Here is a 19,996-nt window from a genome sequence, read left to right on the forward strand (position 1 = left end):
CTTTTAAAATTTAAATTTTTTACTTTAAATTTAAATTTTAATGTTTTAAATAATTTTAAATAAATAAGAATCCTTAGAGTGCTTTTTATTTGGAAAGAAAAATAGAAGCCCTTACAGGAAGGCTGTCTTCATCCTGTCCTATTAACCTTGGAAATAACGTGTGAATTGTTATCATAACCCAGGGATATGCCTTTCCAGTGTGAATAAGACTTTGAGGAGAATTGAAGAAATACCACACTGGGATGATATAATTAGGGCACAAGTGCAGTGTTTAAGTCACAGGGAAGTGGGATATGCATGTACTATATTAGTAGGGTTGAGCTTGGGCAAAGCTGTAGTACTTTCAGTTCTTTTGAGCATGTCTTCTTTCTTCCATCACTTGTCCTTCACCCCTGAATATCTCCTGGGTTGTTTTCAGCACTTAGGCTGCATTACTCCTTTGTGGTTTCTCATTCAAACTTGCCCAACTCCATTTCTAGTTTTTTCTTTAGATATGTTAAGACCATTTATCAGACATGTTTTGTCAGTCAGAATGCTGTTTTTAACTCTTTAAAATGGCTGTTTTCTTTATTTTGATACATTTTACACCGGTATTATAGTTTAGTTCACAGAGGGAACTCAATTCCAAAATCTTAGTGGGCACTTTTGTGCAGCTCTCCTGTGCTATTTATGACCTCATGCTTTTCTTTAATTAGCTAATTACCACCACCAATTTTCTCTGCAATTTTTAGTTTCAAATTCTTGCAGGTAACACTGTTTATAGTTTGTCATCTAGTTTAATCATTATTTCATTGAAAATGTACCATTTATAAGAGAAGTATACATAAGTATTTAAAACCAATTTTTATAGGTTTACTTCTGGCCAAGAAAGATACAGAAAAATTGAGTGGAAGAGTAACTGGGTCAGAGATCAGAAATTGATCCAAAAGTAGAGCCAACATCTATAATGGCTCTTATTTTACATGATATTTCTATTTTACCATTAGTATTTCCAGATGAACTTTAATACAGTTTTTCAAGTTTTCTCAAAACACACAGAAATCACTGTTTTTCTTCTGACTGCCTTGAATATATAGATACTATAATTTAAGGAAACTGACATTGTTACAATATCGAATTTGCATGCAAGGAAAGGCTATTTCCATTTATTCATGACCTCTTTTATTTTTCACAGAAAAGATTAAAAGATTTCTCCATATGATAGAACTATTATTGTACATTAGATAATTTCTTCATTTAGACTTCAAACAGGGTGTTGTTTTTAAATTGATGCTATTAATTTGTGTCTATGTGTGATATAAAAGACACTGAATTTAAAAATAAACACTTTTCCGTGGCTTCTCTTGGAAACAAATCTATTTACATATCCTTTACGGTATGTATTTCTGGAGTACCCCCACATAAATACTAATAGTTGCAAAAAATCTGTGTGTGTGTCTTTACAGGATATCAAGGTACACACTACCTTGATAGGTATTCTGTACACAAACACTCTTACCACATGCTAAAGGAAAGATAAAACTTCATTGCAAGGATGCAGAAGTTCAAAATGAGCCAGTCACAGATCTTATATACAGACTTCTTTATATCTGTTCTGTATCATATCATAGGAATTTACAGAATATCTGTATATCTTATAATTTTTAAAGAATAAAATCTTATACTAATACTTATGGTATAAGGTCAATTTAAAACTTGTAATATTGAATATTTTGTAAAATTTCTAATTTTAAAATTTGTAATTTGGGAAATTTATAATTTTCCATAAAATTTACATTCTAGATAACTGAGTATGAGGAAGCCCTATAGGCTAGGAATAATACAATATTTTATTTCATATGGTTATATTAGGCTCCTACAGAGAGTGATCTGTGATATGCGCAATCTTTAAAATTCAAGGATGAATTTTAACAAATAACCTGTGTATCTAATTTTCTGAATGTGTACATGCATATATATGAAATAAATGTTTAGAAGTAGAACTACTAGGTCAATGAATGGGTGCATGCATTGTTATTTTCTTATACATTGTCCAGTTGCCCTCTACTGGAGTTTGAGTAAATTTATCCTCCTTTATCCATGCTCCCCTGATTGACAGAGTTATATTTCTTGACTTTTGTTATCTGAATGCTACAAATATTAATTTATGTTTCATTTGTCTTTAGTGAGGTTTGAACAAATTTTTATGTGTTATATTTCCTCTTTTTGTATTACCTTCTTTGCAAAATTTTAAGTGCTTTCCCATTTTTTAATTAAAGTTAGCTATTCTTTTCTAGCTGATTTGTAGAGTCTCATACATTAGGGAAATTTGCCCTTTTACCTATGTGTTTCTAATGTTTTTGTAAAAATAATGAGTTATGAATTAATGACTAATGGATGGAAGGAAGTAAAGGACAGGGCCTTTGTGTTATACATTTTTAATTTTTTATTAAAGTATAATTTATATACAGCAAAAAGTATAAATCAATGTTTTGATAAGTACATACTTTAGTATGACCCACACCCCTAACAAGGTATCAAATATTTCTGTTACCCAGAAGATACTTCAGGCCATTTTCATTCAATTTCCTCACCCTCAAAGAGGCAATCACTGTTCACATTTCCATCACAATAGACTAGCTTTGCCTGTTCTAGAACTTCATAAAATTGGAACCATATAGTATTTATCTTTTGACACCGGCTTCTTTTGCTCAGCATAATGTTTTTAAGTTATATCCATGTTATTGCATATAACACTATTCTATTTCTATCTATGTTTCTGAGTATTAATTCCATTGTATGGAGATACCACACTTTGTCTACCCATTCTCCTATTGGACATATGGGTTTATTGGAGTTTTTTGATATGGTGACTCAAGCTGATAAGGACATGCTTGTACAAATCCTTTTTTGGACTTATGTTTTCATTTCACTTGGATCAATATTCAGGAGTTGAATTAGTATGTCAGTGTTTGACATATGTATACATTTATTTTAAGATGGTAAACAGTTTATCAAATGGATTGTATCATTTTACATTCCCGACAAGGTATAAATGTTCTGGTTTCTCACATTTTTTCTTACATTTATTGCTGTCAATGTTTTTAATCCATCATTCTAGCTTATATATTGTACTACTTCTTTGTAGTTTAATTTGCATTTCCCTTATGACTAATGATGTTGAGCATCTTATGTGTGCTTACTGAACATGTGTATAACTTATTGATTGAAGGATTTATTCACACATTACACCCACATTTTTAATGAGTTGTCTTTATTATTATTAACCTGTTCTTCATATATTCTGTATCTTCTGGATACAAGTTCTTCATCAAATGTATGCTTTGCCAATATGATCTTTTAGTCTAAGTTTGTCTTTTCACTTCCTTAACAGCAACTTTAGAAGAGCAAAAGCTTTTAATTTTTATAAAATTGGAGTTGTTAAAAAAATTAGTGCTATTTGTATTTTATCTAAGAAATATTTACCTAATCTAGGATCATGAATATTTTCTTTCATGTTTTATTCTAAAAGTTTTATAATCTTAGCATGCATGTTTATTTCAATGATGCATCTTGAAATAATATTTATGTATGGTTTAAGGTAGGCAGTCAAAATTATCTTTATTCCCATGTAGATATACAGTTTTTCTGGCACTGCGTATTGGAAAGATGATATTTTCTCCATTGAATTACCTTGACATTTTAGTCAAAAGTCACTTAACCATGTGTGTATAGGTCTACTTTTGGACTCTGGATCAGTTGATCTAAATAACTACTCTTCCTCCAACACTGCCTTTTCTTCAAAATTGTAGATTTTAATTGGATTTGGATTGCACTGAACTTGGGGAGCACTAACTTCTTAACAAAACTGAGCTTTCTGGTCCATGAACACAGTACATCCCTCAATTTTATCTTCAATTTCTGTCAGCAACATTTATATTGTGAGTCAGCAGATGGTGCATATACTTTACTATTTTCATATTTAAGTATTTTATTTTTAGTGGTGCTCTACCTAGGACTAAAAATACATACTCTATGCAATTTGATATCTTTATTCATTCTCCAGGACTGCTACGGCAAACTACATAAAGTGGATGGCTTAATAAAATGAACATTCATTCCCTTACAGTTCTGGAAGGCAGAAGTCTGAAATCAACATATTGTCTAGGTCATACTGCCACTGAAAGCTCTAGGAGAGAATCCTTCCTCCTTTCTTCTAGTTTTTGGTGGATCCTGGTATTCCTTGTCTTGAGACAACTTAACTCTGCCTATCTCTGCCAACATCTTCACATGACCCTCTTATTTGTATGTCTCCATGTTTTACCATTTTTCTGTCACCTTTAAGGACACCCATCATTGGATTTAGGGCTCATCCTAATCCAGGTTGATGTCTTCTTAGGATCTTTTTCTTAATTAGAACTGCAAACACCCTTATGTCAAATAAGGTCACATTCTAAGTTATTGGGTGGACATATTTTTTTGGGGGGGTCACTATTTCACTTCCCACAATATCGTACCATGAATCACTTATCCTCTTTTGAAGTTTTTTCACTCTGTGGTTCTATTTCAATCATTTCTATTGCTTGTATTCAAGTTTACTAATCTTTTCTTCTGAATTTGACAAAATGTTGTTCAAGTCTATCCAGATATTTTTTATTTCAGATATAGTCAGATCTGGAATTTCATTTTGATTCTTCATATATTTCATTTTTCTGTGATACTCACCATTTGTTCACTCAGTATGTTCATCTTTTTCCATAAATCCTTAAGCACATTTTAAATAGCTATTTTAAAGTCCTTGTTTGATGAGTCCAACATTTTTATCAGCTTCATATCTATTTCTATTGACTATTTTCTCAAGTTATGGTCACATTTTCTGCTTCTTCATCTATCAAATTGATTGTGTGCTGTATATTGTGCGTGCTACACTGCTAAGAGTCTAGATTATGCTCTTTTAATTGAAAGAGTGTTGAATCTTGTTCTGGCGGGCAGTTAATTTATTGGCAGCTTGATCCTGGTCCTGAGCTTAGTAAGTCAGTTCTAGAGTTGCCATGACTCTAGTGTTAGGGTAGCTCTACTCTTAAAGCTTGGCCTTTCTTGGGTCTCAACTGAATGCTCTGCATATTCACTGAATTCCCTTCATTTTGACAAGTCAGAATTTCAATGTCTCTCAACACTGTGGAACTACCAGAATCTTCATTAAGCTCACAGCCCCCCAGTAGTTATTGTCTGCCTGGTATTGTTGAGTGTTTGCACAAATGAAGTTTAGAATTCAGCTAAAGACTCAAGTGGACACCATGTCTATTTCTGAGCTCCTTAACTGCTCATATACTCCCTTCTGGTATCCTACCTCAAATTTTACTTGTTGCAGGAGCCCCACTCACCCATCTTTGTTTCCTAAACCTAGCAGCACTGCTGTTCACTACTTTGGGCTGTACTTCCCTGTATACAGTTGGGAAGGTGCTTGCAGGCAGAAATCTCTGGAAATCAAGAGGTCACTTTGTATGTTTCCCTTGTCTCAAGGATCACAATCCTGGGCTGTATATTTTCCGGTGGCTAAAAATAGTTGCTTTATACGTTTTGTCCATTTTTATCATTTTTTGTGGTACGAGAATAAGCCCAATGTCATGGCTGGAATTAGAATATCCCTGTGTCAGTCACTTATGTTTTTTCAATACATGTTTGATGAATTAATTAATAACATTCAACATATTTCCATTTTTAAACCTATCAGCAGTACTTATATGATCTGTTAATTAGAAAATAATTGAAAATAAAAATTCTTCACCACATTTCCATTTTTAAACCTATCAGCAGTACTTATATGATCTGTTAATTAGAAAATAATTAAAAATTGAAAATTAAAGAGAAAGTCTTTTATAAGTGTGATAACATACATATGTGGCATTAAACACAGAAAATCAGTGTCTGGCGTTAGCTTAGGGTCATTCAAGTGGCACAAAATAAATGAGAAATTGTTGAACTGTTGTATATACTTTTAGAAATAAGTGGTTACTCAGAATATACATTGCTCTGTGCATGTCACATACTATTATAATAGATTTCCTTAAGAACAATAAACCAAAAACACTGTTTTTTATCTCACTAAAACAAAAGAATTGACCTATTCCTTTGAGTGTTTTATAAAGGAATGTAACTGATTTAGTCAGTAATAACTATGTATATCACATATTTTAACTTTAACTTAGTATTTCTCCTATTCAGCTAGCAAGCACATTCTTTCATTTCACTCTGCATCCAAGAAAGAGCAAGAAGTGTATGTTAAGAAGAAAGCTGCTCAGGGAATTCAGAAATCCCCCAAGGGTAGAGCTGTAAGTGCAATACAAGACATTGGTCTACCCCTTGTGGAGGAGGAAACTACCAGTACACCCACTAGAGAAGACAGTTCCAGCACACCACTGCAGGTATATTAAAAACAATTGTTCAATTGGACTGTTCCTAAAACCCTAACATAAAACAAAACAATCATTTCCCTAAAAATAGTCAATATACAGTGTGCAGTGCTGCCAATGTATAGCCAGAATTGGAGAATAAGAGAGTCTTGAACAGTTTCTCTGTGCCAAGATCTTTAAATACATCTTGGCACAGAGATGTATTTAATATGTACATGAATACATCTTGGCAAATTTAATATGTACATGAACTCTATAATGTACCTGTAATTATCTAATTTTATAGTTGGGTTATAAGAAGCTATATAACTTTGTGGGTCACATATTAATAAATGTCACATATTAAAGGTCATATATTAATAAAACTTAATTTGTATGTGCTTACAATTAAAGGGAAAAAAGATAATGTACATATTTATAAAACAGCAGACAAAGGTATGACCTAGCCATTGGAAACCAAAAAGTAAAATAAGTTTAAATTAAATTAAAGGAATAGAAAAGAAAATGCCAGAAATAAATGTTAATATCACAGAAATTACAATAAATCCAAATAGATCAAATTAATCAACTAAAATGCTAAAATTTTAAAGTTATATAAAAATAAGATCTAACTATTTTAAACAAACTGCTGTAGAAAGTTTCATGATAGAATGTTAGAAAAACATACCTGGCAAATATGAACCAAGAGAGAGCTGTGATGATAGTGTTTTGTTTGTTTGTTTGTTTTTTGAGATGGAGTTTTGCACTGTTGCCCAGGCTGGAGTGCAATGGCGTGATCTCGGCTCACTGCAACCTCTGCCTCCTGGGTTCAAGCGATTCTCCTGCCTCAGCCTCCTGAGTAACTGGGATTTCAGGTGCCTGCCACCACACCTGACTAATTTTCTGTATTTTTAGTAGAGACAGGGTTTCACCATGTTGGCCAGGCTGGTCTTGAATGCCTGACCTCATGATCCACCTGCCGTGGCCTCCCAAAGAGCTGGGATTACAGGTGCGAGCCACCGTGCCTGGCCTGATGATAGTTTTAATACATATAGAAACATTATATAAAAATAAAAGGTAGAATAAATCAAGTAGACATGGCCATAACTAACATATAGGCACCTAATTATCTAGACACAATAAATAAAAAGCAATAACTATTAGAACTACAGAGATAAAAAGATAAGTAAATCATGAATAATTGAAGATTTTTAACCCATGCCTCGTGGAAACTGACAGTTCAAGCTGAAAAACTAAGTAAATAGAATTGTGAGAATTTGAAAAAAAAATCTAAATATAAGCTTAATCATTTAGATATCTATATGGAACACTTTACCCAATAAACAGAGAATATACTTTTTTGGCACACATGAGATTTTTTTAAAATATCATGTAATAGACAATAAATGGAAGCCTCAATAAAATCCAAACTATCCCTATCATATAGTATGTTATCTGAACTTAATGCAATAAAATAGAAACTAATAATTAACAAGGAGTTTTAAATCCTATAAATAATAAAACTAAATAAAATATATTAAATATACTAAATAATTCTTTAGTTTAAAAGAATATTAGAAAATAAATTATGAAATACATAAGATTCAATAACAATCCAAATTTGTAAACAACATCTAAAATAGCATTTGTTTACTACTACTATTTTTAGTAGTAAAAATACAATGCAGCTTCTAGATTAATTCATTAGGAAGCAGGGATGATTAAAAACAAATGAGCTAAGCTATTGAAATAAAAATTCAAAAAAAGAACAGAAAAGTAACTCAAAGATAAAAGAAAGGATTTTAATAATGATGAGAGCAGAAATCAATGAAATGTGGAATAAAAAATAAAGATTAATAAAACCCAGGGTACTTTTAAAGATTAATAAAATACACGTACTTCTAGTAAGACCAACTAAGAAAAAGAGAAAAAGAAGATATAAATTAACCAAATACAGAACAAAAAATTAGGGTGGAGGTGTAACAACAGACAATGGGTTAAAAAAATAAGAGTATTAGAAACAGCTCTGTGCCAGCAAATTTAAAACCTACAGGGTGGTAGGGGTGAGGGGGGCGGTGAGCGCAGTGGCTCACCCCTATAATTCCAGCACTTTGGGAGGCTGAGGCTGGTAGATCACTTGAGACTAGGAGTTCGAGACCAGCCTGGCCAACATGGTAGAGAAACCCTTTCTTTATTAAAAATACAAAAAATTAGCCAGGCATGGTGGCAGGTGTCTGTAATCCCAGCTACTTCAGAGGCTGAGGCATGAGAACCGCTTGAACCTGGGAGGCGGAGGTTACAGCGAGCCGAGATTGTACCACTGCATTCCAGGCTGGGCGACAGAGCGAGGCTCTGTCTCAGTAAAATTAAATTAAATTAAATTAAATTAAATTAAATTAAATTAAACTAAATTAAACCTGGGGGTGAGGGGGAAACACATAACTTCCTGAGGGTGGGGGAGAGGAGAAATCGCAGAGTTGATTCACAAGAAAATAGAAAATCTGAATAAAACAGTAAAGAATAATAAAATTGAAACGATAATTCAAAGTCCTCTAAGTCTTCCCTTTCCAAAAAACCATAGGCCCCCTTTTGGCTTTATAGGATAGGTCCAATAGACTTTTAAAAAGTAATTTCTTACGGAAAACAAACAATATAACTTTTCAATCCTTTTTAAGAAATTAATGTAATCCTGATTTCAAAACCAGATAAAGGTAACACAAAAAGGAATAAAATGTATTTATAAACATAGGTGATAAATTGCAAATAACATAATAGATATCCAATTCTAGCAGTGTATTAAGCAATCAGACAGAATTCTTCTCAGAAATTCAGAAATCTTTTACCATTGGAAAATCTATCAGTATTAGTCACTACAGTAATACACTAGATGAGAACAATCATATAATCCTGAAACATTTGACAAAGTTTAACACCTATTTATGGATTTCTAAAATGTGCTCTTAGCAAACTAGGCATAGGAGAGAACTTCTTCATCATAAATGTTACATGCCAAAAATTTTACACTTAATGGCCAAATCTCATATACAAAACCATTATACTAATGTGGGAAGTGTAAGTGTGTTCCTATTAAAATTGGAATAAGAAAAGAATGCTTGCTATAATTGTTAGTATTTAATGATACTGAACTATTATGATAATGGAAAGCCACAATGATACAAAGAACAAAATAATTAAAAGATTATTCTAAATAATCATTGAATTACTCACAGATAATATAATCATATGCCCAAGAAAAAACAACAGAATAAACAAACTTTAGAACTAAGAGATTTTGGCAAGATTGCCAAAGACATTAATAGTAATAACTAATATATTGACTTACTTATTACTTACTATGCACCTGATACTATGTGCTTCACACATAGATCTTGAATTCTCCCCATCAACTTTTTTCTTTTTCTTTTTTGAGACAGAGTCTCACTCCATTGTCCAGGCAATGGCGTGATCTCAGCTCACTGCAATCTCCACCTACGGGGTTCAAGTGATTCTCTCGTCTCAGCCTCTGGAGTAGCTGGGATTATAGGCACATGCCCCCACACCCGGCTAATATTTTTTGTATTTTTAGTAGACAAAGGGGTTCTCTACCATGTTGGCCAGGCTGGTCTCAAACCCCTGACCTCAGGTGACCCACCCACCTCAGCCTCTTGAAGTAAGTATTCTTATTATCTGTATTTCACAGTCAAGGAACCTGGAGGACAGGAAGCTTAAGTGACTTCCTCAAGGCCAAACAGCTGGTTTGTGCTAAAGCAGGACTTCAACCCAGACAGCTCTAGCTCATGAGGTCATGCCCTTAATCACAATGCTGTTCTGCTACTACAACTTAAACAAAAATCAGTAGTGTTCCTCTACACCGGCACTATGCATTAGACATCAGAATATGATGCCTTTAATAATAGCAGCAACAAAATCAGAAAACACCCAGGAATTAACCAAAAATATATCAGTTTTCCACATAGAAAAGCTTAACACTTGAATAAAGGCTACAGAAAGTAACCCAATCCACTGATGGACACAGATGACTTGAATAAATAGAGAAGCATTTCATGCTTTTCAGCAAGATGGCATAACAGTATAAAGATATGTTATCCTCAATCTGCCTTTAAATTCAATGCAATCCCAATCAAAATTCCCACTGTATTTTTCTGAAATTTTCTAAAGATACTTTAAAATTCATAGGAATGAATAGCAATTCACAAATAGCTAACGGAACTTGGGGAAAAAAGAGCAAAGTGTGTCTTAGTATTTCCAAAGACAAAAAGATATAGCAGTAAAAATAGTATTAATTAATGCATACATAGGTAAATGGAACAATAAGAGAAAGTAAGATAGAAACAGATCCATATTTTTATGAAAATTTCATATAGAATAGAGGCAACACCATAAACCAATGAAGAAAAGATGGACTATTGAGTAGGTTGTACTAGGAAAATTACATCTCCATGGAGAGAAATAAAACTAGATCACTAGCTAACATCATACATAAAGGTGAATTCCAGATATAGTGAACATTTAATTGTAAAATTTTAATCCCTAAATATAATAATAGATAATGTAGGAGACTATTTTTTTCTGTGTCATGATCACAAAGAAGAGAAAACCCTAAAGGCCAACAGCTTTGAAAAAATACTCAAACTTTATAGTAATCTTAAAAATGCAAAATACAATAGCAGTGAGATTTCACTTTATACCCACTGCACTCACAAAAATTATAAAGTTGGGTAGTGGCAGGTGTTGGTGGGGATGTGGGGCTATTAAACTTTTATAAAGTGTAGCGTTACAGAGTTTTGGAGAACATCCAGCATGATTTAACTAAATTATGACTGTCTGATCTGGAAAATTCTGCATTTATCATGTACCTAGCATAATAAATGACATTAGGCACATACCATGTATGTTCTTATCATTTTTAAACACTGCATTTTATTTCACAGAATTACAAGTATATTATACAGTGTTCGGTGTTGTATAACAGTTGGCCTCTCACTGAAAGCCAGCTGACATTTGTTCAAGCACTGAAAGACTTAAAGAAAAGTAATACCAAAGGTATGTCACCCTAAATGTTTAAACATGCACTTTACATTTGAATAAGTTGATATTTAAATATTTAATAATAAATTGATTTAGTCATGAAAATATCATTGTATGATGTTTTATTACACATTATAATTTGTACTCTATATCCTGTTACATTTCCTGTTGTGTTAATTGATTATATGTTTCAATATTTTTACTGCCTGTTTTATAAGGAAAAAATATGATTAGTTAGATGTAATGTAAGCACATTTTGTCTAGTTAATAAAAATTACTAATTGATTATACTTTTGAACATTTCAAAAATGTATGACATTTTTCTATTTATAAAATTATATTTGCCCATATTTTTTGAGAATATATAGCATTAAATACAAGCTTTTAAAATATTTCACAAATTCTTCAATTCCAGAAGAATAATTTTCTAGTGAAAGAGTACTCTGGTTTATTTTTTCAAAATATAAACTACTCTAGTATTCCTGGCCAGGAAGCTTGTTGCTTTCAAAAAAGAGAATCAAAGGGAAATCTCCAACAGCTTTATATCCCATTGGGCAATCTAATAATTGAATCTGAAAGAATGTGTATTTTCTATTTATGTTCTCTTTCAAATTTAAGCTAGATTGCCTAATCATAAAATAATATATGCATGTTATTTTTAAAATAAAATAAACCCATGCAATACAAAAGGGTATAACATAAAATGTAAAAGCCTCCATTTCTTCCTGGGTCCCATTAACCTGAGTTCAAACACTTGATGGTAGCCACCACCGAAGTGGGCTTTGTCATCATTCAGAATTTTTAGTATACATACAACACGCTTATGATAAGACGTAAACTCTTAGTCCTTTTCGTCCTCTAAGAAACAGTAAATTTTATCTATTATTTATATTCCTCTATTAGAATGCAAGCCCCTGAAGAATGAGGAGTTTTGTCCATTTTCACCTGTTTCGTCCCTTGCATTATCCCTAGTTAGATCCCATATGAACAGTAAGCACCCCACAATATTAGCTGAATGAGTAAATGGAAGGATACATGTAAGCTATTCCTATTATTATTACCCTTATTTATTAATTGCCAACAACTCTGTTCAGGCGTTTGCTTGCTTCTATTATCTGCCTGGACCTGATCAAGAAAGAGCTTAAAAAGGTTTGTGTGTACAGAAGTTAAGAGAAAACTGTTATTGCCAGGCTTACTTTATTAGAAGGTATAGATTCTAGTATGTGTCTTAAAATTCAAAGAAAAGCTATAAAAATGTATGACACCAAGAGTTCCCATTTCCACTCAAATGTATTGAGTGTGCTTCCATAGCAACGCATCACACTGCCGAAATTCCAACGGCATCGCACTGTGCGGCCTCTTCTGAGGTTCCTCTCTCATTGGGCAGGGATGTGTTCTTCCTCGGTCTCATCATTGCATCTCTAGCACTAGTGGGAGATGTCAATAAGTGTTTAATGAATGAATGCATGAACATGCCACACCAGTGACCTCAGGTATGTGTAAATCCTAATGGCATCCTGGCCTGCTGTGTGGGCAAGATTCTGAGGCTGTGTTCAGGCTCAACGAGAAAGTTTTGTGATGTTTTATCAATATTCCACGTAGACACAGGAAGAGAAAGTGGTAGCACTGGGGCCACAGAGTCGCCGCCTCTTTGCTGTTCGTGTGTGGTATGTGGATAACTCCAGAGCAGACAATGGGGTGTTCAAACCTTGTTTTTTGAACGAGTGGCTGTGCTACTGCTCCATAGTGTTATACATAAAAACACTTTCGCACATTCCCTGGATAGTCATGGAATATGAATTTTGCCAAAACATCTGCCCATTCTACTTCAACCTCCCCTCCTAAAGCCAACACCCCTAACAGCCCAGCACACTGAGAATGTCTGAAACAGCAGACAAGGCTTCGATCTCATATTCTTGCCTACTAGAAGAGAACACAATTATTCTGTGAGTAAATGTCATATGAAAGCCGCAAATACCTTGCAGGCCACGTCTCAAGCCGAATACGCCCGAATACGCCTGTTGATTCCCTTGTTGTGGTTGCACAGGCGGTTGGCTTTGGCAATCACTTCCTTGCAGCTTGTTCCCGGATGCTGTGTTTCCGGCCCAGTTCCCTTCTCTGGGTCTTCAGCTGTGAAGGTTTCCTGGACCCACCTAATGTTGCCTAACCCTGTGTTATGGATTATCTACTGCTGTGAATTTGAGCCCTTTGATTATTTTGCAGTTGACCACCCACACCCACCAAGTTCTAATGGAAAATAAATGAAAAAAAAAAATCAGTTGTTTATGTTTATTTCTCTTTGCATGTTACCATATTCTCTTTCTCTATATGTTTTTCCCGTCAGGTTGCCACTTTTGTTCTCGCTTAAAGTAACCATTACCCTATTCCTACTTCCCCTGTGGTTCAAAGCAAAATCTCTTAGCTCATACCGTGCCCCCGCCCCTGGCCCCTGGCCCCCACCATTCTCTGTCTTCTTTTTCTCTATCAATTAACAGAAACCTGTTTGAAATAATGGATGGTACAAATCATGTGGTAATTTTGTGTTCCCCTACTGCAAAGAAGTAGATAGAGTATATGCCTAATACCAGTGGAATTAAATATTTTATGCTAAAGATTTAAGTGCAAATAAAATATTCACAATTATAGAAATCAAAGAATAAAGAAACAGCACAGTTTTGTATGAGCTTGTGTGTTCACCAAAGCTATTCTCATTTCCACTTTGTTCTTCAAGTTATAGGACTGGTAGATTTTACATTACATTTCTGAGGATTAAGAATTTCAATGGATCAGAGAATGACAGCCAGTTCTGATTTGTTTTGTTTTGCTTTTTGTTTTGGACAGTGTGGGCTTTTTCATGAGTTGCCTGTAACTCTTTATAATTCTGATTTCTGTATTATAATAGCGTGTTATACCTGTCTCAATAAGCTCAAAATAGTCATGCTACTGTTGTTTATAGCAATTATAAATTATAAACCCAGATCCATATGACAGAAAACAAATAATCTCATCATAAATCATAAAAGGAAAACTACAGAGCAACCTTGCTGAATTCAATTGAAGATCTTGCTCACAAGGAAAACCTGTTTCTGAATAATGTTTAAATGAGATTCATAAAAATGTGCAATCATGAAGAGGTATTTGTGAAAAAATTTTAAGCTTTTCAGGGAAAAATAGCATCACATAGTACAATGCTATTGACTAGAATTGCTTTCTCCCAATTCTCTAAAGTAAACTAATGTCTAATATGGTGCAAAAGAAAAATATCTCAATACTATTAAATTTAGTTAAATATATATATTATATTTATTATATATATATATCACACAGCTGGTTGCTGGCACAGCTGGGAATTCTAATGGAAATTAAATTCCATCAAGGGCATTTGAATGGGGAAAATAATAATATACAGTAGTACTGGTTTCACGTCTTTATTTGTGTCTCTGATAGAGGGCTGTATTATGGTTTTTTCCTATATTAATATGTAATTATATAATATATATTATATATTATATTTATATCATATGAAATATATTTGCCTAAATTTATTTATTATATATAAAACAATATATACATAATTTAAATACCTGTGTATATTTTCTGTGATAACTAGAAATTTGGTTTCAGTACTTATATGTTGAGTGTGTTATGTAAAATTTTGTAAATTTGGGATATTTAGAAAAAAAAATGACACCTTGAAATGTGTGGAGGAAGTGAGGGTAAAATAGTTTGTATTATACAAGAAAGTCTTGAAGGATACCAAGCATGAGAAATAAAGCTTTGCTTTGGAAGTAGAAGTAGCGGGAAGGAGAATGTGTCTCAGGCTATACGCAGGAGCCAGTGCTGGACTCACATCACTCACAGGAGCACTTACTGGGCATCACGTGTGCCTAAAGAGGGACTGATTCCTGCCAGAGAGCACAACATGAGGGACAGAGCAACAAGGAGAGTATCTGCACATAGCTCACTATTCAAGGCCATTCCCATTTCCTTCCACATCAGAAATGGTGGGGAGGAAAGATTCAGAAATGTTTCCTCTCACTTTAGGTCACAGAAATTCATAATTATTAATATTAAGACTTCATAACGTTAGACATTAGTGACCCTAAATTACCACCTCTCTTCAAAAATACATAAATGCGTAGAAGAAGAAAAGGCATACATAGAGAAAAAAAAAAGATCGTACATACCAATTAAAGTAATTAGTTCTGGATGTTGAAATTATTAGTAATTTTACTTTATCACTTGTATTTTATATCTAGAAACAAGTTTTAATGAAAAATATATAAATGGGAAGTTTTAAATGAGCACATACAATTTTAATCAGGAAAAAATATGGTACTTTTTAATTTTTAAACAAGAAAAACTCTGGAGAGACCTAGAAGTTTAATCACTCTAATTATAATTGAGTGCTATTATGTCCATCTTACTCAACTTAGTAGTTTTCATGCATTCTTCTTAATTCTCACAAAAACTTTGGGAAGTAGTTATTACCATCCCAGTTTTACAGATGAAGAAATGAGCCTTAGATGCTATGAATAATTTGCCTAAGTTTGCATAGGTTCGAAGGAGCAGAGTGAAGGTTCTAACATAAGTCTGATTTATTCCAAAGCCCAGAATCTTCCACCATATCATGTAAGCTCTTTAGATACTCTAACAAGTTGTATTGTCATAATAGTACTGGTGGTAGTGGTGATATTGATGGTACTGGTAGTAACTGCTAACATTTATGTCCAAGAAGGGCTTTACATATATTGACCCAATTAATCTTCCCAATAAACTTATGAGGTAGGTGTTATTACTACAGCATTGTCATTTTACAGATGAGGGAACTGGGATACAGACAGTTTAAGAAACTTGCTCTCAGTCACACAGCTAGTGACTGGCACAGCTGAGAATCTAATGGAAATTAAACTCCATCTAGGGCTTTGAATGGAGAAAAGTAATAATATACAGTAGTACTGGCTTCATATCTTTACAGTGTCTCTGAGAGATGTCTTTATCTATATTACTTTAGTGAACACAAAAGTAATATAAAGACGTCTGTCAGATATATATGACCCATATTGTTTTTCCCTGTTAATGGGTAACTATTAAGATTCTAGTGGAAAACTAGATAAAAACATTAATATCTGAAATGAACACAGTAGTTTAATTCATGAAATACAATAATGTAAATATGTAGAATTGGGTAATGGTACAAAATTAATAATATGAGTGAACACTCAACAAAATGGTATTATCATGTATTCCAAAGAAAAAATAAGTCTTCAGAAAATAATTACGTTTTCTTTCCTGATATCACATTTGAAAATTTTATGTGTGAATGACCAGCTGCTAAAATTAAATTACACTTTGGATTACATAGTATGTTTGTTGCTGAAAAGCAGCAAAGAAATTCAGAATTAAATTGTATTTAAAATGAAGTAGGAAAATTTTCTGTTTGAAAGAATATTTTGTTGGGCAATCTTCTTGAAAGTCAAGCAGCTTTCAAATTCAGAATAATTAAGTCTTTAATGTCATGTTTATAAATATTTAGTCAATTTGATTAAAGCATGTCTATATGTCAGCTGCTATGTATCAATTATATATACAACTTAAAATCTACCTGCTCTGATTTGAAGTGCATGATGTATTTCACACATCAGTTACTCCATACATAGAAAAATTACATATATAGAAAAATTCAGTTACTAATGTCTTTAATTTATCCACTTAGCTTACTTTGGTTTTTTTGCAACCTCCTCCTCCTGGGCTGAAGGGATTCTCGTGCCTCACCCTCCCAAGTAGCTGGGATTACAGACGTGCGCCACCATGCCTGGCTAATTTTTGTATTTTCAGTAGAGATGGGGTTTAACCATTTTGGTGAGGCTGATCTCAAATTCCTAGCCTCAAGCAATCCACTCATCTCGGCCTTCCCAAGTTGCTGGGATTACAGGCATGAGCCACCATGCTCAGCCAGCTTACTTTTAAAATATAAAATTTTATATCAAGAAGAAATTGGTTAAGGGTTTTCTGTTGTTGTTTTTTATTAGTACACTGGTGACCTAAGTTAAATTTGATATTCATCCTGAAGTCAATGTTGCCCCACTTATTTATACTCAACATTTAATTTATATGAAAAATACAATATGTAATTTGTGGGGTTTTTTTCAAAAATTCATGTCTTTATAACCCATGATAAGAAAGAATAAGGCTTGAAATAATGGCTATGTACAACTTAGGATATTTCTATTATAAATGTTTAGAAACCTTGGCCTCTGGTTAACATGAGGCAACAGTGCCACCTTTAGTATATTTTAAAACCTAAGTTTTGGTAAAAACTGCTTACTGAGATGGTTCATGGTCACTTAAGAAAATAGAAGGCTAGAGAACCTTGAGCAGATAGTACTTAGTGATGTCACCTGCCTTCATGTATAATTACTGGTGTTGTGATTTTAAATTCCTTTTGCCAATATGTTACAGTTTTGTGTTGCTGGCCTGGATCTTTGAAGTTGTAATCTATTTGTAAAAACAAATATAAATTTGTCATTCTCAAAAATATTTGGTTTCAAGTCTCATTGAATTTTATTAGCAGTATTATAACACTATTCCTTTAACTCTAATTAATATTATACTGTTGTTCTTTATTTGGCACAATGCATGGTGTAGCCAATTCAAGGTCTTTGAGGAAACCAAACATTATTAAATACATGTTATATGTATATTATTTATATATATAAAAAGACTTTTCTGTTTATATTTATCAAGTATAACTGTACTTGATAAATATATACTTTGTTCTAAACAAGTATTCTAGCTTAGAAATATGTAAATTTTCAAATTCCAACCTGATTTTATTTCTGATATATAAACCTAAGCACTGAATTTTAATCATAAAAACAAAACTGAATTTTTACAATTTTTATATGTTTCGTTATCCACTGAAGATTTCTGTCTACTGTGTTCTGGATATATGGAGGATATTGTAAGAGGAGACCTAAAGGCATAATGCTAATGGCCTTTTGAGCTCATTTCATCAACAAAATACTCCCTAAGCACTTCCTCTCTTCCAGGGGTATATTAATTTATTCCAATGGTCATTTCCTCTAGAGGTCTTCTGATTACATAAATATGCAATGTGAAGTAACATGTTTCATAATTCTTGGACTAGTAGAATGTTTTTTTCTTGCATCTTACAACTATATGTACTCCCAACACATATGTATTTCCTGTAAAGCTTTACATATTAAAGTTAAACAATCTGATAATCAGTATATATTATTAGTTCAACATTATACTAAATGAAATTAGGAATTTAAAATGAGGCATATAATGATGTTCTGGCCTTCAAAGAACTTAAAATTTATGTGAGAAAAGGTTACCCTAAATTACGCCATTAAAAATTTTGGAAATTATTTTATTCTGTATATTAAGAATGTAAAGAAGAAGGATGGCACATACCTGCCGTGTGCCTGACATTTTAGTAGGTACTTTGTGTATGTAAACTTGAATATTATATGTGCTAACTTCAGTGGAATCAAATACACCTAAATGTATTACTCAAACACTAAAAACTATGTGTAGTAAGACAAGAAAGCCCCAGAAATGCTTCATGGGGCAGCTTGAGATTCAATTTCAGCTGACATTTGTTAAGCATTTAAAAAACCCAGTGGGTGTATGATACCAGATATGATCCTATTTTAAATGCTCTATATTGATTATTTTAAGCTCTCTGGGCATGGTGCTAGTATCTCCATTACACAGAGAAGGAAACTTAGACTCAAAGGATGTAATAAACCTACAAAAGTTAACCTATTTAGCAGCTGAGCCAGAATTCACCTCTAGGTCATTTGACTATTGGACCAAAGGATTTTCCCCACAGCAAGACTTCTGAGCAGCTGAGATTGTTGGCAGAAGGGACAGTTTCCACTCCTATAGAGCGCTCACAGTCCCTTTGCAGTCTGGTAGGGTGGTTTGTCCCCCAATTTGAAAGTAGCTAATAAATGGGCACCAAGTAATTTATAAATATGGGTTATTTACAATTACTATTTTACATTGCTAATGGGGTGATTTACATGAGACTCCAGTTTTGAAAGGGACTAACAGGTTCTTTGAACTTGTATTTGAGAATACAGATTCAACTCTTATCAGTTGGGAGACTTGAGTAAATTATATAACTTCTCTGAATATACCCTGCTGGGATGCTTGAGACTTAAAAGAGAAGGAAACACAGTAAAGATTCAATAAATATTATTTTAAATAATAAATAAATTATTTAAATATTTTCCCCTCACCACTTCCATATTTAATTGTTAGAAGAGGTTAAAAAAGCATAAAGCTCATGTCCTTCATGTTGGGGAAAGGTAATTATACTCTTCTAAAAGTAAACCAGTGGTTCTCAAAGTGTGATCCTTGGATCAGCTGCCTTAGCACCATCTGGAAACTTGTGAAAAATGTACATTTTGAGGCCCTATCACAGACCTAGCAAATCAGAAACTTTAGGGTTGGTGCCCAGAAATCTGTTCTATGGTAAGCCCTTCAGGTGATTCTGACACAGGCTAAAGTTTGAGAACCACTCTTGTGAGGGTACCTTCAGC

The 19,996-nt window shown here is 33.2% G+C and overlaps 1 protein-coding gene and 1 long non-coding RNA gene across 2 annotated transcripts in view; one reads left to right on the forward strand and one right to left on the reverse strand.

The window, feature by feature from the left end:
* Nucleotides 1-13,457, reverse strand: part of LOC105378040 (uncharacterized) — a 39,913-nt gene extending 26,456 nt beyond the window's left edge. The window contains exon 1 of the long non-coding RNA XR_943093.2: nt 13,399-13,457. This is a non-coding gene — a long non-coding RNA (uncharacterized LOC105378040). The remainder of the gene's footprint in view (nt 1-13,398) is intronic.
* ADGB (androglobin) overlaps nt 1-19,996 on the forward strand; it is a 216,491-nt gene that overhangs the window by 158,725 nt on the left and 37,770 nt on the right. The window contains exons 28-29 of the mRNA NM_024694.4: nt 6,205-6,404; nt 11,324-11,435. Of these exons, the coding sequence (NP_078970.3) occupies nt 6,205-6,404; nt 11,324-11,435 (312 nt within the window). The remainder of the gene's footprint in view (nt 1-6,204; nt 6,405-11,323; nt 11,436-19,996) is intronic.

Source organism: Homo sapiens, chromosome 6 (assembly GCF_000001405.40).
Source record: "Homo sapiens chromosome 6, GRCh38.p14 Primary Assembly".
In the NCBI taxonomy this organism is placed as follows: domain Eukaryota; kingdom Metazoa; phylum Chordata; class Mammalia; order Primates; family Hominidae; genus Homo; species Homo sapiens.